A 22,311-nucleotide genomic window follows, 5' to 3' on the forward strand; every position below is an offset into this window, starting at 1 on the left:
AACTCCTTTAAATTTAATTCAGCTGAAGTTTTTCTTTTAACACTGTCTTCTTTCCTTCTTTTCCTCCTTCCTCCCTGGGTCCTTCCTATTTTCCTCCCTCTCCTTCCCTCCAGTATCTTCCCTTTGACAAATCTCTCACCATTCCAGGACCTCTAATCCACTGGCTTAACTTTTTACTGTTTGTTACCCAGCCCACCAAGTATTCACCGATTACACCTTTGTAAAATTCAACCTTCCTTCCTACTCTTGGCACACCCCTAAGCCTCTGAAAGATAAATATATTCAGCTGTGCTGAGTGGTCTCACTTTAAACATGTAAGCACAAACTGTTAGGCTCTGAATGCTACCTGACAGTAATAGTATATTTCTGCACTTTATTCACTTTACGACTCTCTTATTCTTCTAAATGACTATTCTATACTTTCGTCTCTTCAAAACATCAACTCCCCCCTTTCCCTTTTCACAAAGAATTTCTCATGCCTACAGCACAAATCTGCCAACATTTCTGCATCTGTAACTGTACTTTCTGCCAGCCCTACTGCAATGGATGAGTTGAACTGCAAGTTATGGGGTTTGACTTAAGGCTACCTCCTCTACTTTGCAATAGCTCTCATCACTTCCTGCCTAATTGCAAGTGTGCTTTCTCTCTCTTTCATCATCATCCTTTAGAACATTAACTAAAATACGAACATATGTAATATCTTTCATTTAGAAACTAGTCATTCCTTGACCCCACATTTCTCTCAGGCTGCTGTCCCATTTCTCTGTCCCAATTAGAGCAAACTCGTTGAAAGAACTATTCTTCTCAATGTCCTAATTCTCTCGTTCTCTCTTTTTAGTTATAGCTTTATTGAAATATAATTCACATGACATTATAATTAATCCACTTAAATCGTGTAATTCAATATTTTTTGGTATATTCATGGACTTGCACAACCATTACCACAATCTTAGACCATTTTTATTATCTCAAAAAAAAAAATCTTACACCCATTAGCAGTTACTCTTATTTGTCCCCAACCATCACCCTTAGCTCTAGGCAACCACTAATCTACTTTCTGTCTCTATAGATTTGCCTATTGTGGACATGTCATATAAACAGAATGATACAATATGTGGTCTTTTGTAACTGGCTGTTTTTCACTTAGCATGATACTTTCAGGATTCATCCATTTTGAATCAGGTATCAGTATGTCATTTCTTTTTATTGCTGAATAATATTCCATTACATGGATATACCATATTTATCCATCATCAGCTAATGAACATGGTGTTTTTTTCTGCTTTTTGGCTACTGTGATTATTGCTGCAATGAACATTCATGTACAAGATTTTGTGCAGGCATAAATTTTTATTTTTCATTTCTCAAGTTTTTTGTGTGAATAAATGATTTGTGTATCTAGCAGTGGAAATGCTGAATCATACAGTAAATCTGTGTTTAACATTTTGAAGAATTGCCAGGCTGTTTTCAAAGTTTGCAACATTTTACATTCCCATCAGCAATGTTTGAGAGTTTCAATTTCTTCACATCTTAGTCAACATTGTTTTTGTCTTTTTATTGTATTCATCGTAGTGGGTATTAAATGGTATCTCATTATGGGTTAGATTTACATTTCCTTGATGGCTAATGATGTTGAACATCTTTTTATATGTGTATTGGTTGTATATCTTCTTTGCAGAAACATCTATTCATATAGTCTGCCCAGTTTTCAACTTGGTTATTTTCTTTTTATGTTTGAGTTGTAAAAGTTTATAAATATACATTCTAGATACAAATCTGTTATATATATGACTTGCAATTATTTGCTCCCATACTATGGGTTGCCTTTTCACTTATTTTATGGTGTTCTTTGAAGCACAAAAGTTTTTAATTTTGATGAAGTCCAGATTACCTATTTTTTCTTTTGTTGTTTATGCTTTTGGTGTCATCTTAAAGGAACCATTGCTTAATCTAATCCAATATACCTCCTGTTTTTCTTCTAAAGCTTTTATGGTTTTGATCCATTTTTTGTTAATTTTTATGGAGTGAGGTAAGGCTCCAAATTCATTATTTATTTATTTATTTATTTATTTATTTTTTGCATGTAGATTTCCAGTTTTCCCACCACCATTTGTTGAAAAGATTTGTCTGGAACTCTAGTCAAAACTCAGTTGGTCATTGATGTATGAATTATTTTTGGAGTCTCAATTCTATTCCATTTACCTACTTGTCCTCTTGCAAATACCACACTATCTTACAAGTTTTGAAATTGAGATGTGAAATTCCTGCAACTTTGTTATTTTTTCAAGATTGATAGGTCCCTTGAATTGTCATATGAATTTTGGTATCAGGTTACCAATTTCTCAAAAGATGTCAGCTGAGATTATAATAGAAAGCACATTGAAACTGTGGATCAATTTGGAGAGTATTGCCATCATAATATTAAGTTTTCTAGTCCATGAACATGAGATATCTCTCAATTTATTTATGTCTTTTCTAATATCTTTCAACATTGTTTTGTAGTTTTCAAAGTATAAGTTTTATACTTCTTTTGTTAGATTTATTTCTAAATTTTTTGGTGATATTGTAGGTGAAATTCTTTTTGGAATTTCACTTTTGGATTATTCAATGCTAGTGTATAGAAGTACAATTGACTTTTGTATATTGATGTTGTATCCTGCAACCTTGCTAGACTTATTAGTTCTAATAGCTTTTTGGTGAATTTGTATAATTTTCTACATACAAGATCCTTAAGGTCTATATGCAAGATTATGTTATGTGCAAATATAGGTAATTTTACTTCTCCCTTTCCAATCAGGATGACTTTTACTTAATTTTACCTAAAAATTACCCGACTGGCCTGGCTAGAATCTCTAGTATAGTATTGAATAGAAGTGGTAAGACTATACATCCTTGTTTTGTTCCTAATCTTGGGGGAAAAGTTTTCAGTCTTTCAAGTGTAAGTTATTAATTGTAATGTTAGCTGTGGGTTTTTGTAAATGCCCTTTATCAGGTTGAGGAATTTTTCTTCTGTTCCTAGTTTGTTGTGTGTTTTTATCATGAAGTAGTGTTGCATGTTGTCAAATGCCTTTTCTGAATCTATTCAGATGATCACATGGCTTTTGTTTTTCATTCTATTGGTATGGTGTAATGTATATATTAATTGATTTTTCAGATGTTAAACTAAACTTACATTTCTAGAATAAACCCTGCTTGGTTATGGTGTACAATACTTTTAATATGTTATTAGTTTGCTAGTATGTTTTCTTATATTCATAAGAGATATTGGTCTGCAGTTTTCTTGTGATGCCTTTGTCTGGTTTTGGTATCACAGTAATACAGGCCTCATGTAATGAGTTAGGAATAGTTGTTCTACAATTTCTTAGAAAAGTTTGTGAAGGCTTGATACTAATTCTTTAAACATTTGGTAGAGTTACCAATGAAGACATCTGGGCCTGCATTTTCCTTAGTGTTTTTTGATTACTGATTCAATCTTCTTACTTATTATAGGTCTATTTAGATTATCTATTTTTTCTTGAGTCAGTTTCTGTAGTTTATGTCTCTTTAGTAATTTGCTTGTTTCATCTAAGTTATCTAATTTATTGGCATACAGTTGTTCACAGGATTTCCTGTGGTCCTTTTAATTTCTGTAAGATTTGTAGTAATGTCTTATTTTTGTTCTTGATTATAGTAATTTGAATTGTCTTTTTGCTTCATCAGTCTTGATAAAGATCTGACAATTTTCTTGATCTTTTTGAAGAACCTACTTTTGTTTTTGTTTCTTGTCTCTATTTTCTATTATTTATGTCACTAACGTCTGCTCTAATTGTTATTATTTCTTTCCTTCTGCTTGGTTTTACTATTCCCCCACCCCAGTATTTTAAAGTTATAAGGCTAAATTATTGATTTGAGATCTTCTTTTATAATGTAAACAATGGGATACATATAATGTACAAATTTATGGGATGCAGATAAATCAGTGCTGAGAGGGAAATTTTTACTTGTAAATTTCCCTCTAAGCACTGATTTATCTACAGCCCATCTGTTTTAGTACATAGTATCCCAATTTTTTATTCATCTCAAGGTATTTTCTATGATTTCTTATGAAATTTCCTTTGTGATTTCTTCTTTGACCTATTGGTTATTTAGAACTATGTTGTTTAATTTCCACATTTGTGAATTTTCCCAATTTTTCATTATTAATTCCTCTAATTTTTTCCATAGTGGTTGGAGAACATAGTGGTTTGCATGATTTCGGCCCTTTTAAATATGTTGATGCTTATTTATAGCTTAATATATGGTCTATCTTGGAGAAAGTTTCATATATGTTTGAAAGGAATGTGTGTACTGCTCTTGTTGGGTGGAGTATTCTATACTATCTGTTGGGTTAAGTTGGCTTATAACATTATTTAAGTCTTCTATTGTTTTGTTGATCTTCTGTCTGATGGTTCTATACGTTATTGAAAACGGAGTATTGAAGTCTTCAGTTATTGTTGATTTGTCTATTTCTCTCTCCAATTCTGTCAGTTCTTGCCACGTATATTTTGTGTTTGTATATATAGAATGGGATCTGGAAGAATTTGGTCTAAGTTGTTTTAGTGGTGATCTCTTAAGTAGTGGGAATGTGATACTCTTTTTTTTTTTTTGAGATGGAGTCTCGCTCTGTCACCCAGGCTGGAGTGCAGTGGCGTGATCTCGGCTCACTGCAAGCTCCGCCTCCCAGGTTCATGCCGTTCTCCTGCCTCAGCCTCCTGAGTAGCTGGGGACTACAGGTGCCTGCCACCACCCCCGGCTAATTTTTTTGTATTTTTAGTAGAGACGGGGTTTCACCATGTTTGCCAGGATGGTCTCGATCTCCTGACCTTGTGATCTGCCTGCATCGGCCTCCCAAAGTGCTGGGATTATAGGCATGAGCCACCGCGCCCGGCCACTGTAATTTTTCTTATGTATGTGTGTCCGTATTTTTTCTTAATTTCATGCATGTACTACTTATGTTTTCATAAAATATTGTGGGTTTTGTGTTTGTTTATTTTTTAAACACTAGATTTAGAATGTCTTGTTTTCAGTCCACAGTTCTGGTCCTGGCTTAATAATGTGAACTTGGGCAAGTTATTGACTTCTATAAACCTTGCAAAAAATTCAACTCTGAAACAGCACTGGTAACAGCACATCTCTATACAGTTATGTGAAGATTAGAGAGATAATACAAACTGCTTAGTGCTTAGCAAAAGTCTGTTGTGTAGTCATAGCTTTATAAATGTTAACTATTATTACTGTGCTTCAGTGTTACCAGCAAACATTTGAACATAGCTTTCATCTGAAAAACTGAGCCAATGCTTTGCTTAAAATCATGGCTTTGGGTCAAATGGAAGCATATTATATAGTGGGAAGTTCATGAATAAGATTCCTTTGATTCATAAGCTAAGGGCCATTCATTATGGTTTAAATGTAAACCAAGTAAAGGCCTTGAACCAAAGCTCACTCTGTTCCTAATGATCTGTGGGATCCAAACACATGCCAATGCATGCAAAGCTCTGATGAACTTGGGGCTTTATCCAAAGCATGCTTTCCTCTAGTACTCTTAATCATCATTCAGAGGTATAAATTTCACAAAAGGAATCTTACCACTACAAGGGCACTACTATTTACTACTCACACTACAGAGCTGCACCATCTGTCTCAAAACCACAATTTTATAAATTGCTTTTGATGATATATTGTAGGATTGCCCTGTATATGACATTCATGATGAAACCCTCCAGTGAGGCCTCTTCGGTTGAATCAAAATCAACATGTTAATGACGCCCACCTACCCCTAAAAAAGAAAAGAAAATGCTAACATCCACATTCTGCTTGATGAATCAAAGAAGCAGGGTGCAGATTCCGTAAGATGAATGTTTCTTTCTGCCAGATTGATATCCAGAAACTGTTAGTATTCCAGATCACCTTGAATTAAGTAATCTTAATTATCCACATGTCAGTGGAAGCCAGCAAGACTTGAATCAAGTTCAGAAGAATCATTGGCTCCACATCCCACCATTTACCCACCCTCCTTCCCCTAAGATGTCCCGGGAAACATCAAGAAAATATAATGCAGGGATATGTAGAAAAAATATAAAGAGGGCCCATTAAAGGTGAAGAATTGATAGTAAAGAAACCTGGTCGATCAATCAATCAAAAAATATCAATACCGTAAAAGAGACAATAGAGGCAATTTAATACTCCAACCTTAAAGAGAAAATGGAACGGTGCTCTTCTCTGTTTAATTAACACCAGTTGCTGTAACAGATACACCCAGAAATCTCTGTAGTTTAACCCAATAAAAATGTAGTTTTTGCTCCTGTCATAGTCTTTTGAAAGATTTCTTGGTCAGTAGCCTTCTGTGGGAATTTTCAGGGACCCAGGTTCCTTCCACATTGTATGGTCCTCACGAGCACTTATTAAGCACTTTGGTTTGGAAGAGGCTTCCATCACCATGGCTCACGTTCTGTGGGGAAGAAGTATACATTAACCCTACCTATATGTAAGCAGCTGGGAAATATGGTTCCTGTCTGGGAAGGCATTTACCAGCTACATCTCTATGCTGGAGAAGGAGAGCACAAATGTTGGGTGGTTGGCTAAACATCACTGCATCTCTTTCCTTCTTTTGTCACCTTTTTGGAGTAGACACTCCAAGTATGTGGGTGGTAGTGATGGTAAAATCTTTTGTGACATATCAATAATATAACTTTACAAGGCCCCATTGGTGGCATGGTTATTGACATCACCAAGAAGTACCCAATTTAATAAACATTTGTTAACACTCTAGTGTGTGCCAGGTTCTACTCACTGCTAAGGAAAAGATGAATGGACGTGGTCTGAAGGAAAAGTGGTGAGACAGACATATATGCATAATTAACATTAATTGAAGGTGAGATAAAAGTGCCAAAATTGAAGTATAAATAAAAAAGGCCTTAGTGGACTGCCAAGCAGGAGGGTATTAAATCTTGTACAGTGAGCAGAGAAACCTGATCTCTAGGCAAGGTTCTTTGTTTTCCAGAAGGGACCTACTCATGTTAACTCAAGTAAAGGAGGGATTGTTGAAAGAATATGAAGATCGCAGAAAATCAAAATGCATCCAGGCCTCATGAGAAAGGGGGCCTGAGGCAGATAAACTGCTGCAGAAGCAATCTCTGGTCCCTCTTTGTACCCTCTCTGTTTCCTCTACTCTCACTCAGCCCTACATGTTGCTCATCCTAGTTTGACAGGACCTTTTGAGTCTTGTATTCAGCCCCACTTGGCCTCTATTTCTCCTTTAGACATAAAGTTAGCAATCTAATTGGTTGCTAACTAGCTGATGGACAGGCTAGCCTTGGGTCAGCTGTTGCTGAGGGGCGTCAGTGTGAAAATGAAGGCACCACATGGCCTATCAGGCTGCCCCTTGCAGGGGTTTTGATAGGGGCAGGTAAGTTAACTGTCTAATATAGGGGGGCAAGTTTTAATTGGCTGTTAAAAGAGGTCCTGGATTTCAACTGGGGTTAAAGGCTAGAGAACAGTTCTGACTTAGATAGAGCATGAGCAAAGACAAGAAATAAGGAAAGTTCAAGTATATTTGGGGAATGACTAGGCACCTAGAGTGTCTGGAGTATAAGATCCACAGGACTGGTGGAGTTTAGAGTGGATTATTAAGTTATGAGGCCAGAGCTAGGGAGTTTAGAGTCTGTAGACAATGGGAAGAGCTTGAAGATGCTTACCAGGGAGATATACAAAAGATAAAAACCTCAATGCACACACAGTAGATGTTGGGAGTGTTCAGCATGGTTTCTTCATGGATAGCCTTTCATCCAGCATCTTAATGGTGACAAAAATCCTCTTATTAAGGAACCGGTCACTTAACAAGAGGAAACATGTATGGTAACAAGAAGGGGATCTCAAGCTTTGGAATCAGGCAGATGTGCAAATCTCAACTCTTCCACTTTCTAGCAGTATATCTTGGACAGGTTACTCAGCCTCTCTAAGCCTCAGTTTTCTCACCTGCAAAATGTGATTAATCTTCAGCCAGTTATATACTGGTATGGCATAATAACTGGAGGGGTTATGGATAAGTTAAGTGTCCATTAAATTGGCTGGGCATGGTGGTTCACGCCTGTAATCCCAGCACTTTGGGACGCCAAGATGGGTGGATCACCTGAGGTCAGGAGTTCAAGACCAGCCTGACCAACATGGTGAAACCCCGTCTCTTCTAGAAATACAAAAATTAGCTGGGTGCAGTAGCACATGCCTGTGATCCCAGCTACTTGGGAAGCTGAGGCAGGAGAATCACTTGAACCTGGGAGGCGGAGGTTGCAGTGAGCCAAGATTGCACCACTGCACTCCAGCCTGGGTGACAGAGCAAAACCCCATCTGAAAAAAAAAAAAAAAAAAAGTGTCCATTAAATTAATTGGTCAGGGCCAGTGTTGTATTTGTTGTAGAGTATAATATTTTGCATGTCATTCCACTTTTTAGGTTTGTATTAAGTTTAATTGGCATAAAGTTCATAAAATGCTTAGCAAGTGCCTGGCACATGGTAAATAGTCATTCCACACATTTTGTTTTTTCTTATCTATTTTTCCTTGAAAATTTCAAATCTCTAATATGAAGAGAGTTTGAGTCAAGGAGCCCTTGAACTGTTTAGTCATACAATGACTTTCTAAGGCACCTAAGCAGCCCCAGGCTGGCCTTGGGTCAGCCTTTTCAGCAGACAGGGAAGGAAGCTCCTCACTGTGCTTTTAGGGATGTAAGTCTTTTCAGTAATGGCTCTTGCTCAAAATGGTGCATGTTAATGCTGTAGATGCCCAGTCATCACTCCTGCATCCTCTGATGCCTGAACCAGTTACTGCCTTCTAAAACTTGGACGTGTTCCGCATTTAGATTCCTTAGTTTTGCAGTTGACAGAGGGCAAACTCATGGTTAGGTTTTATATAGGCGCTCATCATTACGATAATTAGCTGCCAAAGAAAGATCAGGAACATCCAGTGTCTCCTTTGTAAAGTACTTAGTATTAATTCCAGCCAAGAAAGAGAAAATGTAATAATCTGTGATAGGCCCCGGCTGCAAATAAAACAAAAATGTGGTCCTTCTAGAGCTACTCAACTTTACAGATTGAAAGGAATCCAATAACTTTGGATTTCCAAGCATGAGGATCTTTCTAGAATATTAAATCCATTGGCTTTTGAATCCATGGTGTCGTAACCGTGACAGTTTTGGGTGAGAAATGACCTACTGGGAACACCTGAAGCCAGTTTTTATGGAGGGATGTCTATTATTAATAGTATTACTTAGAAAGTATTGTGGTGTACTTTTTTTTTTTTTTTTTTTTTTTAACCCAAAGGGGTTTGGATATTCCCATTGCTACAGCTTAAATAATGCTGCCTGTGATGGTTAATATTGAATGTCAACTTGATTGAAGTATGCAAAGTATTGTTCCTGGGTGTGTCTGTGAGGGTGTTGCCAAAGGAGATTAACATTTGAGTCAGCGGACTGGGAGAGGCAGACCCACCCTCAGTCTGGGTGGGCACCATCTAATCAGCTACCAGAGTGGCTAGAAGAAAGCAGGCAGGACAAAATCCTGCTGTGCTGGTTGCTTCCTGCCCTTGAGCATCAGACTCCAAGTTCTTCAGCTTTTGGACTCTTGGACTTACACCAGTGGTTTGCCAGGGGCTCTCAGGCCTTTGGCCACAGACTGAAGTCTGCACTGTCAGCTTCCCTACTTTTAAGGTTTTGGGACTCAGACTGATCCACCACTGGCTTCCCTGCTCCTCAACTTGCAGACAGCCCATCATGGGATCCAGTTAGTTCTGTCCCTCTACAGAACCCTGATTAATACACTGCCCTTGTGTGTGGCATGAGCAAGATAAAAAATTTGAAAGATACTGCAAAAATATAAGCTGCCTTTCTTGTCACCTGTGACTCTTCCTACTGCTCTTAGGGCAGAGATGAATTGAGTGAGAGAACAAAGTTCAAGGTCAGAGAGATGCAGACCTGAGGACTCCTGGTGTCCCATGCAGACCCATCATCTTCCCTTTTTTCCTCTTTGTTTCATCTATATTTATTCTAAGTAAGAATTCTTTTTCTACTCCTTATCCCAAGCACAGAGCTCTCAGGGTCCCAAAGATCTGTAGCATGACTTTGTTTTTCTCAAGAATTGACTCGACTGTCCCAGCACATATGAGAAAATGTAAGACAAGGGACATGCAAAGCTCTAAAGAGGATCCAGACTGGACCAGACTGTTCCTTTATCACTCCAGTTAAAGGTTATCAGTTCCATGGTGAGGGAACTGGAGAATCATTTTCTTTTTTACATTGTAGTTTATTGTGTACACATGTGTAAAGTAAATGGAATCAAATTCTCATTACTGAATGTAGTTTAGTCATTCTTAGTAAGTCCTCTGTCTTCTTCATACTATCTCAAGTTGAGAAACAATTCAAGGATTGTTATTTGTGATTCCTGAGTCATTTACCTACCTAAGTAATTCAATGTTTTGGTGTCAAGAGTGAGAAAACCAGGCAAGACTGGTTGACAGGCTGATTGATTTGCTGGGTATATTTTGACATGAGTTTATGATTAGTACATTGAGATGACCAAAACCCACCATTTCTTGTTTCTGATTCTTCACCTCAGTGTTGGGGTTGGGTATAGTCAAGTGCAAATGCAAGGAACATGGAAGCACTAATTCCTAATATTCAAGAACAGTGTAATCTGTAATGCAGAACTATGCCGAAATGGCTTACAAAGCCCTTGCTCTTGAGGAGTTCCACAATGACCATTAAAGGTGCCTCTAAAATTTGTGCTGTCTCCTTTAGCTTCTCTTCTAGAAAGAAACTAAACTTTTTAATTGTGGCCTTCTAAAAAAGTTTGGAATCTTTTGTCCAATCTCTACTACTATAGTCTTGTCTGTAAATCTGGAAGAACATCATCAAATGTCCTCTGTTTTTGCCTTTAGCTCTTTTTCCCTACAGATTCCAGATTATGTTGTTCCACTTCCACTGGAAATGTTAGTATTAGAATGCTTCCTTATTCCACCTGCTAAAGCTGATTAAACTCTGTGATTGATTAACTGTGTGAAGTCCCACATAGTAAACTTTTTTTTTTTTTTTTAAAGACAAGGCCTCACCCAGATTGGAGTGCAGTGGCATCATCATGGCTCACTGCAACCTTGAACTCCTGGACTGAAGTGATCCTCCCCCTCAGCCTTCCAGGTACTGGGACTATCGGTGTGCACCATCATGCTTGACTAATCTTTTTTTTTTTTTTAATTTTTAGTAGAGACGAGGTCTCACTATGTTGCCCAGAGTTGTCTCAAATCCTCATGCTCAAGCAAACCTCCCACCTCACAAATTTTAAGATAGATGTGGAGGAGGTACTATCCTGAGGAATTTGAGTCAGTCAACATGATTTGCCGTTCATAAAGAATCCCTTTTCTGGTAACAATAGTTATTCTGGAAAACAATCATTTCATATATATATGTGTGTGTGTGTGTGTGTGTATATATATATATATATTTTTTTTTTGTACAAGCCACACTACTCCCAATATATTCAGGAATTATTTGTGTGGAGACAGAAATGTTAGCTCTTAACAATGAATTTTGATTCTTACAGAATGGTAAGGAAGATTGTATGTAACACATCCTGAATTGGCAAAATATGCCAAAGACATTGGCTTTTCCATAAAAAAAGTGGGAATAAAGTCTTAATATTCTATTGATTATTGGTTGTCGCATAGTTTTTTCCAATGGCAGAATTTCTTGATTACGTTATTCTGTGTTTGGAAACAAACAGCATGTTTAAATTATATAATCCCAGGCCTCTCCATAACAATTGAGTATTATTTGCCACACACAGATTGCAAAACATTATGCTATCTGGAAAGGGTCTGTACTTACCCCATCAGCCCTAACGGGTGATATTGTATCATTCCTACAAGGGTTTCAGTGGTCATTGGTGGGGACTGCAGGGAAGGACAGCTCCGTTCTTTCTGGAGCATCATTGTTTGACAGAGAGTGGAGGGCCAGGTGTATAAGATCACCAAGTAGTAGAAGGAGCAGCAGGCATGGGAATCACCTTAAGGGACATAAAGGGACAGGCTCTTTCCCTGTGTTGAGACATTACATAAGTGTCTGGATTCTGTAATGCCTAAAGGAGAGGCTCCTAAAATATGACACACCGCACCATGAGAGGGGGAGCTGGTGCCAGAATTAATTTAAAGATCAGCAAATTATTGGGATACTTCTTATTCCCAAGTATTACTGAGCAAATTCATACTTACTATACAAATTAAAATTTCTTTTTTAGAGAAGCTATACAACCTCTTGTTAGGCTAAGTATCACTGGGCATTCTCTTCCTTTTAGTTGTAAGTTTGTGCTGAAGAGTTCTTTATAAAAGATTCATTATTTCATCGTCTGTTTTTATAATTCATGAACACACTTCCATTAATTCTTATTGTAGTTTTCCAACTTTGTTAGTTCTCTTTGGACTTCCCTTTTAAAGTCGGCTTTAACAGCCCAAATTTTTGTGTTAATCTTTGTCTGTTGTTCAATAACTGGGGTCATTAATTCACTAATAGCATTGGAGAGGTGCTAAAGTTTTTCAAAACTGCAGATTGACCTAATTAATGTCTTTTCTGAATTGTGCTAATTCCCCCATTAACCACTCTGGGGCCTCTTAAAACTCCCCAGTCTCTGCCTGACAGACATCTATTCACAAGTGTTACATGCTTCGAACAGGTTGTGATTGCCTTGATTATGAGTAAAGTAGCAGTGTTTTTAAAATGTTTGCAGAAGCATTTTTTTTGTCATTTCCTTTTCGGATTAATCATTTATAACTCTTTAACACTTTGCCAACTTTTGATTGTCTTCCACTCTGATTTCCTGTACTTCCCAAGGTCTGCCCTACTACCACCACCCAATGGCTTCTATTTGTTGGTGACTGACAGAAAAGAGGATTAAGCATAGGCCTAGATCAGAACTATTTATCCTCTTAACCACACAAATTAAAGATAGTAATTGTTTTACAATGAGGAAAGTCTAAAGATTGGCCCCAGATTCACTGTATAGACTCTATTGTTCATTATTTAGAACCATGTATAGTAAACTCTATATAACAATGAATTGTGCTGTCATCTCCATTCTATATCTCCATACAGCTATAGTTACATCCGGGTCCTGGAGTGGGGGTACTGACCTGACCATGAGATTATCATTTGAGTGTGCAGAATGTAAGCATCACATAAGCAGCTGTTCTGGAAGAATGATGACTTAGGCTTATTTCTGGCTAGGTGGCTTCCAAGCTACACAAGTACATAGACAAAAATGCAAACCACCATTTCTTATTTTTTAGTATTGAGCATAGTCACAAAATGTGAATTAGTTTTTATATATGACATGTTTCCCCCTACATGGGATAGTCAATTCTGCACTGACAGCTAAGGACTAAAATTAAAATGTAAAAGAAAACATACAAATCTAGTTCAACAAAAGTCAGATGCACATTTGGTGATCTATTTGATAAATCTTCTAAATTGGATGATGATCAGTAACTCCTTAGTCCCTGTTCCTTGCCCTCTTTTTCAGACCACTGTATTAATCATGAGTTTCTGGTCCTTTGACATCTGAAGCCTTCCTGACCCTGAAGAGTGATCCTTTCAGAGCTAGCCAATTCCTAGAACTAGTAAATGACTGGCTTGTGAGCATGTCTTTTGAATGCAAACAAACCAATCCAGAGCCCAAATGTCCAACCACTTCCTATATTGAACTCTCACATTCCAGGCCACTTTTCCCCTTCCTACTTTCATCCCAAGGCCAGGTACCTACACCCCAGGGCCTGCTGAAATTATTCAAACTCACCAATCCTAAACCTGCTTACCTTGCCTTATCCATTGCTTCCTGTAGATGCCACAGTAAAGGCTCTTGTCTGTACTTTTGTCTTGCTCCTGCCTCCTGATCCACTCTGGTGCTTCCCCTTGTGGCGCCTGTGGCCCCTGTGTGTCTTGTGTTGTTGAAAACCATGGAAGAAGCAAACAAAATGGTCTGAGGGGTGCCTTCTATTCAATTTCAGTTCAAGTACAGTAGTCGCCCTTGCCTGTGACTGCTTATGCATTATAAGCCTAAATCGGGACCTGTGAAAATAACAGTTGTCTTTACAATGGCAGTTGTCTCCTGATCTATTTGCCTCACCATATTTGAGTAATAATAAAGCCTACATTTTAAAATAAGCATTTATTACCTTTAAAAACAATATATAAATGATTTATCGTGTTAATTTTCACTGTCCAACTTCCTCCCTCTCTGCCCTACGTCTACTAGAATAAGTGTTTGGAGGGCAGGCATTTTTTTCTCTTTTGTTTACTGGAAAATTCTAAGGGCCTAGAATGGTGTCTGGCACATAGTATGTGCTCAGTAAGTATGTGTTGAATTGAATTAATTACTTACTTGATTTACTTTGCTATCTTTTTTCCAAAGCCACTCTGTAGAGACTTGCTGAGTAATGTCACTGTGAAGCCAGAATCAGAGCAAAAAAATGTGTAACTCGTGTTATTGACACACATGGAAGAAGCAAACAGAATGGTCTGAAGGGTGTCTTCTGTTTAATTTCAGTTCACAGTACAGTAGTCACCCTTGCCTGTGACTGCTTATCTGTTATAAGCCCAGATTCTGGCTCTGACAACAGGCTAGGTAGGAATTGTGAACAAGACATGTCACTTCTGTCTCTTGGTTTGTTCATTTGTAAATTGAGGGGATAGACTAGATCAGCAAACATTTACTGTGCTAAATAATTTTCATGAATGTTTCCATTCAGTAATACAAAGCCGATAATCACTATTATCTTCATTTTAAAAATGAAGAAACTGAGGCTCAGATAAATTACATAAATTGCCAAAGTCACAGTTTGCAAGTGAGAAATTAAGATTTCAGCACTTGAAATCTTGTATATATCCCCCCAAGCTATGTTCTCTTTCTCTCTCTCTCAACTATTTTTTAAATAATAATATATTCAGAAAAGTGCACAGATTATAAATGCATGCTGCAGTAAACTATCACAAAATGATTCCATGTGTGAAAACACCACTTTTATCAAGAAATTTAAAAATCACAGAAGCACTGTCTCCTGAATGCTGTCTCAATCACTCTCCCTTCCATCTTCCCCAAAGGTAACCACTAGCTTAAATTCTGAAATCAGTTTAGTTTTGCCTACTTTTGAAATTCATAAAATGTATTCCTACAGTTATATTCTTTTGTGTCTGGTTCTTTTGCTTTTTTTTTTGGTTTGTTTGTGAAATTCACTAGTTTTGTTGCCTGTAAATGTAGTTTGTCATTTGATTTCCCATTGTGTGACTATATTACAATATCTTTATACATTCTTCTATTGTTGAATGTCTGAGATGTTTCTAGTTTGGGTCTATTATGACTAATGCTACTGTGAGCATTCTTTTGTACATGTGCATGTTCACTTGGGTATATACCTAGGAATGAAATTGCTGGGTCCAACAGTATCTTCAACTTTAGTCTCCTACCAGCCGTGTATGAAAGTCCCAGTTGTTTCACATGTTTATTCCAGTTGGTATTGTCAACCATTTTCCCTTTTGTGTCTTCTACTGGGTAGTGGTATTTGCTTAGATTTGAATTTGCGTTTTCCTAATGACTAATGAGATAGAGCACTTTTTTTTATATTCATTAGCCATTAGAGATTCTCTTTTTCAAAGTGTATCTTCAAGTTCCTTCACCATTTTTCTACTGAATTGGCTGTATTTTTCCTACTGACTTGCAGACATCTTTGTAAATCCTGGATAGAGTTGGTTGTATGTATTATAAATATCTTTTCCCACTGCAGTACTGTTACCTTGTCACTTGGCTAGTGATGTCAATACTGAAACTAATTTTAGTGCCCCAATGTTGGGCAGACATAAGCTGACTTAATATTTACTATTTTGTATTTTTCTGGTATATAATTACTAGGTATATCAAACTTCTCAAAGTAATTCTGAGTTGATTTCCTCAAGGTTCTTTTTTTTGGGGGGTGGGGGGAGGTGTAAAGCTTTCTTAATATGCATATGGGCTTTACAGGGACTAAAAAACACTCCTTGGGATTCAAGTTTTGCTAAATGTAGTGAAAGAAAAGCATGTGAATTCAGTGCCTTTTAAATAGAAAGTCCTTAGCTACTAATACCAATGCTATTGCTGACCCCCATTTTACCTCTGATCTTCATCCTCATCCTGATCCTCTCTCTGTCTCTACCTCCTCAGATCCTCAAATTGTATTTAAATTGTATTTAAATTGTATTTAAGGATAAATTGAAGGTAGGGATTATAGTATCAAGGATGACATGAGTGCTTTAATGAAGGACGGTTTTAAATATATTGCATGGTACTTTTAAAAACTAAAAGAGCAGTTTGTTTAGGTGTAATGTCAAATGATTTGCTTTTATCTTTCAAAATGGTAGCAATAACTCCACAGCATAGACAAGATGTGGAGATGGAAAGCTGTGCACTGTAACACTGCTGCTAGACCCAGAGGCTCTGTGGCGTCACTCCAGAGTGACATCATGCCATAGGGCTTATTGAAGGCAATCTACTTGCACTTGCAGCGTTTGAAATTTTGGTCTATTCATACAGATGTCCCTTATTTTATGGTGGTACAGATTGGTATGTGGTATACCAGAATATGTGTTACTTAAAGCAAAGTCTCTTCCTGCCCATGCTGTGTAGAGGCAGCTGACACGAAGAAAGGGGTACACAGTTATCTTGGTCAGTCAAGAATAGACCTGGGAGGCTGAGGAGGGAGGATCACTTGAGCCTGGGAGGTAGAGGTTGCAGTGAGCTGAGTTTGAGCCACTGCACTCCAACCTGGCGATAGAGCCAGACCCCGTCACACACACTCACTCACTCACACACATTAGACTTGTCAATGCAACTAATGTCGTAATTTATTATCTCCATGCAGAAGCTGGTCGAAAAACCAAAATCACAGAAAGTTTTAAAGCTCAAATTACTTTAGATGATCTGCTTCAGAGATTTTAAACCTAGGATTCTTCAATAGGCTTCTGTTGATTTACTCCTGAAATTGATTCCCACAGGTCTTGTGTATGTGTGTACATGTATCTTTCTGAGGAGGGGGTCCACAGCTTTCAGAAGATTCCCAACATTTGTGATGAACTGATCAAGTTTAACACCTCCTCTTGTGCAGATGAGAAAGCTGACTGACTTAAGGTGCCACATTTAATGACTGGCAGAATCAGAACCAGATGCCATTGTTCCTGATTCCTGGACAAGCACTTCAGCCAGAACTAAAGATTACAAGGTTAAAAGTGGGAAATTGGATAGGGAGCTATCTGGCAGTCTCTATTAATGGGATTAGACTTTTTTCTATCAAAACTCACTTTCAATTATAATAAGAGGATTCAGTGGAAATATGGGATTCAATATACAAAACATTGCTTTATTTCCAAGGCATCCATTTATTTTGTAACTTGGGGGCAGTCTATAATTAGAGTTAACGGTAGTTCTGATTAATAAATTCTATCTGCTCTCATACTGTGCTAGAGTTCCTTCTGAGTGCTGGGACATGTTTTATTAACATGGAAAGGCTGTTGCAGCTCACCTCTTGTCACTTGAATCAGTTGCCTGCTGGCCTGGCACTCAGTTTTGTGTGGCAGAACCTTACTGAGCCTGAATGATAATGGACCTTTTAAATCCTAAGCAATAAACATTCATTTTACCACTCCACCCAGCACAGAAATGCTCTCTAACCTCAAATCAGCCACAAATAAGACTTGGAAATCAATTCATTGTGCATAGGCTTCCTGCCTGCTTCATGTTTTGCAGCAAATAATTTTAGCAAAGTGTCTGCTGAGCATGTGTGTTTTGAGTATGCAAAAGTTGAGATATTATGTATAATGGGGTATTCAACCCTTTTGTGACATTTCTGTTTTTATCCATAGAACACATTCTATTGAGCAAAGCTAATTTTTATGCGTTGGTAACTAGAATGAGAAAGGCTCTAAGTGGGTTTCAGGGGAGGAAAAATCCCTCAAATTCCCACTTTAGTGATTCTCCCTAAGTTTTGGGGGGAATTCTCAGCATCCCAAAGTCCTCTGGTTATTTCAAAAATTACATTTCATAGAAAATCAATTTATTATATTTGTGCTTGTCACATTCATTAGAATATTCTCATGCATAAGATATCAGTTGCTGGAAGAGCCTGTAGGAGTGCATTTAGCCCTGAAGAGGAATATCTTGTTAGGTTGAGACAGAAGATCAAATGGATATGTCTCAAATTCCCTTCTGCTGGGGTTTGAAGTTTGAGGCAGACTTTCTTCCTCATATCTCGTAGGTCAGAGTTCCTCTAGAGTTCCTCCAGAGTTCCATTATTTCATCATGCTCTGGTGCTCCTGGGAGCTTCCAATTTCTCAAAATTCATGAGAACTCAAGGCCAGAAGGAGCAAGTCACAAATGTTTTCAGTTAGAGGACCACTCAGGGAGGCAAAGAACCCTGTCCCAACTAATGCTACTGGAATCACTCCCCCTCTCCCTCCACCACCCCAAAAGTACTGCAATTAGTGGCAAAACTGATGCTGCTTTTGGGAATTTCAAGGAGCTGATGTGTGTTTTTCATTAACATAAAAAAATTAGTAACTGATGCCAGAAACTGAAGCACTGGCTCTCTTAAACTACAATATAAACCTGAATGTGCAGAAGACCAACCCAAGACAACATGAGGGTCCTCTTGGGCCACACTCAGATGGATGTCTTGAAGTAGGGATGTGTGGGGCAGCCACAGAAGATCAACTAAACTCTTCAATGATATTCATTTATTCTCTCTTTCTCTCCACACATTTGCTTTCCAGTAAGGTTTTCCCCTCATTTTAATCATACATTCTGATTAAAAATGGGGACCTCTCCAACTTCATTGTATGCCTTTTATTTTATGTTTCAAGCACTCATCTTGAAAAAAGAGAGAGCATGTGCCAAGGCTATTGTAAGGTACTGATTCTATTTTAAAATCACTGCAGTGTATTTGAGATAGAGGCATGATACGATGATCTCCCTTATTGCAGTCATGATTAAACATAATGAGTAGGATCAGCCTGCAAGCTTATCACTATTCTATGTTGTAAAATTGCCCAAGAGTAAAATGCAAATACAAACAAGGAGTTTTAATGAGCCAATGTAATAAAAGATCCAGGCAACAGGAAACTGGTGGCTGTGCTTTGTTTCGCCCCTTCCCAATGGGTGGCTTGAATCAGCCTCCTTTAGAGCAAGTCTGAGTTGGGTCAAGTCAGTTTCCAAATATAAAATTTAACATATTGCAGGTTAGCTCTAAACAGTATTATTCATTTACAAAGAACATTTTCTCATTTTCATTCACGTGAGAGAGATAACACTGAACTCTCCTGCAAGATACAAAAAGAAGCAAGGACAATTTCCTCAAAATACCTTTTCTTAGGTGAGTTAGTGTAAATATTTTGGCCATTTTAATTGACTATACCTGATAGTGCTGGGTTAAGAAAAAGGTCATTAGGGATCATTAGAACTAGAATTCTCTACCATTCTATAATCATGCTCTAATTGAGGTATATACTAAGTCATCATCACAAACTAAAGTTTATGTTTTAACAATAGAAATAATCTAATGGTCAGATTGCAATTCATTTCAACTGTATCTGTGCAGCACAGCAAAGGCCCTTTGGCTTTCTTCTCCTTGAATCTACATATTTCTGCCTGCATATAAATATTCTAAAAGTACCAAAGATAGACCCCCGTAAATAAAGCATTTAGGTTAATTCTAGCACACGATGAGTTTTCCTTTTTGATTTTTTGCACAAGAACTGGTTGTTAATTTTAGACTTTGGCAAGATGGAAGGTGGGGGTGATGTGAGTCTATTTCACCTTAAGTTATATCACTGAGGCACTATGCTGCTGATTAAGGTTCTGTGATGGGTAAGGATGAGTATTCACTTTTGCTGACAAGGGGATGTTCTGTGTGTAACATGTTTGCAAGGGTTTTGCAGTGCAGCACTGGATGTCCTCAATAGTGGGAAACCTTCATATGGCCTTTTCTGGTGAGCTTGTCAAAGGATGCACACATATTAGACATTCAGATTCCAGTGGGAAATAGGGAAGCCAGGATAGAAACTGTCTTGCCTCACTGTGACATTTTAACTTTTGGAAAAAGAAGTTGCTTTCTAGTGTTGTTCGTGATTTTTTGTTTGTTTGTTTAACTTGGGTGCACATCTTGAAATTTTTGGATTTTTACCACATCCTCTCTTGTGTCTACACTTTCTTCAGACAGAAACATGATTCAGTGAGGATGCATTTATCTTTGTGATTGCAGAGCCTCTGTCCAGGTTGACCAGAGCTCTTACCAAAAATAGATTCCAACATGTGAGAGCAGTAAAGTAAGTCACCATCTTTGTAGGTACCACTCATCTCACTACCACTCTTGGGGAACAAATATGTAATTTAGAAGGATTTTCTTCTTGTTATGAAGCCAATAATATAATTACCACTTGATAATTTAAGGAGTGCCAACTCTTTAATGACATTTAGTAAGCACTCAATTGCTTTAGAGGGCATAGACATTGTGTCACCTGCAATTCATTAGAAGGTCACAAGCTATTGTCAAAATCTGGGCCTGTTTGAGCTCCCTGCAGTGATTTGATAACATTGTGTTCTGTCTGTGGAGGTTCCAGGGTTTGAGGGTTTTCTGGAATCCCCACTTCCTGGGAACAGGGTGCTGAAGATCGACTATGAATTGGGAAATTTGAATGGAATAAAAAAGCGGCTTTTATTTTAAAGAGATGCCCTTTGAAGCTCTGGAGGGCCCAAACCGACTGGCTTTCAAAACATGTTGACTTGGCCTCCCTGTTCAAATTTGATAAATGATCTTCTGTTTCTAATTCTTGATTTAAAAAAATTTTTGTTGTTCAATGATCTTTCAACCTTATGAATGTGCCAGAAAGTTAAAAAATGTTAAAGGACTATTTTACCTGCTGAAAAGGTACATATTTTGAAGGGGAGGATGGTTAAAGGATATACAATACACATGAAGGAAGAAAAACATCTTTGTAATACTAAAAACAACTAAGAATCTGCAAAAATCTCACCGTTATCAAATTTAGATTAGATTAGATTTTCACAGGGCTTAGGTGGAGATGTAAAGGTCTTGTCAGAGAAAATGTGACACACCCATAAGAGTGACAGCTATTACCTTTTAGCTTATTTCACCTTCTCTCTCAGTTCCCTCAAAATGCACCACTGAAAGTTGTAAGGCACACACACACAGATAGCATATATAAAGAGTCACACATGTCCTAAAATGTTGACAGGTGTCTGCAATACTCATCATTGGAGATAGCTTACTGCTGAAGTTAAAGTACAATATTGAGATTGATAAAGACAGAGATGGGGGAGACTGAGCTAGTTCATGTAACAGCTGCAATCATTCCCAAATGTTTTTCTGCATAATCATGCAAGAAATTCATCATGCATTTCCTATTAAATATTCATGCAACTTGCTCCATAGGAGGGCTGTGGTATTTATTAATTCCCTGGTGTTGGTAGGTTTTGGTACATCTACTGCCAGAAATAAATGTGTCATGCCTAGCAAATTCAGTTCTTGGCAGAAAATATTAGAATATGGTACTTGCTTACAGGATATTGCAAGCTTTAATTATGTCTAAATGATTTTCAAGACTACCTTGGAATAAGTAATTGGTTCCTTTTGTTTTTAGATGAAAGCAAGGGTCTGGTGGAGAGAGGTGGAGATTGAATGGGTACATAGAAGCATTTCACTTTAAGTACCCTGTCTTTAAGAGAGGTGATCCACTTCTACCACATATTAGTAATTACCGAAAAAAGAAGTTGGGTCTAATCATCATCAGCAAGTGAAGTCATCTACTGTTTCATGCTGTTGAAATTTCTTTACCCTAAGACTTTATTAGTTTAAAGGATGAAAGAGAAAATAAAAACTAATTATCAAAATTGGTCCTCTAAATTTGTCAGCACGTAACATTACAAATCCCAAAGCTGTTGTTTACCAACATAGATTGACAGAAATCCAAATGAGGCTTTTCTTAGTCCATTTGGGCTGCTATAACACAATATCATAAGCTTGGTAGCTTATAAACAACAGAAATTTGTTTTTTGCCCTTCTAGAGGCTGGGAAGTCTGTTGAGTGCCTGCTTTCTGGTTCATAGTTGATGTCTTCTTGTTGTGTCTTCACAAGGTGGAAGTGGTGGGCTCGCTTTCTGGGTCTCATTTTTATAAGGGTGCTAATCCCAATCATAAGGTCTCTGTCCTCAAGTCCTAATCACTT

At 37.7% G+C, this 22,311-nt stretch overlaps 2 long non-coding RNA genes across 2 annotated transcripts in view; both read right to left on the minus strand.

The window, feature by feature from the left end:
- Positions 1-22,311, minus strand: part of LOC105373718 (uncharacterized) — a 93,832-nt gene that overhangs the window by 36,443 nt on the left and 35,078 nt on the right. The window lies entirely within an intron of this gene.
- On the minus strand, positions 6,201-8,098 carry LOC124907902 (uncharacterized). Its single transcript, XR_007087275.1, has 2 exons — positions 7,993-8,098; positions 6,201-6,466 (listed from the first exon to the last, which is right to left on the minus strand). It is a non-coding gene; the product is annotated as an uncharacterized LOC124907902 (long non-coding RNA).

Source organism: Homo sapiens, chromosome 2 (assembly GCF_000001405.40).
Source record: "Homo sapiens chromosome 2, GRCh38.p14 Primary Assembly".
NCBI lineage: Eukaryota > Metazoa > Chordata > Mammalia > Primates > Hominidae > Homo > Homo sapiens.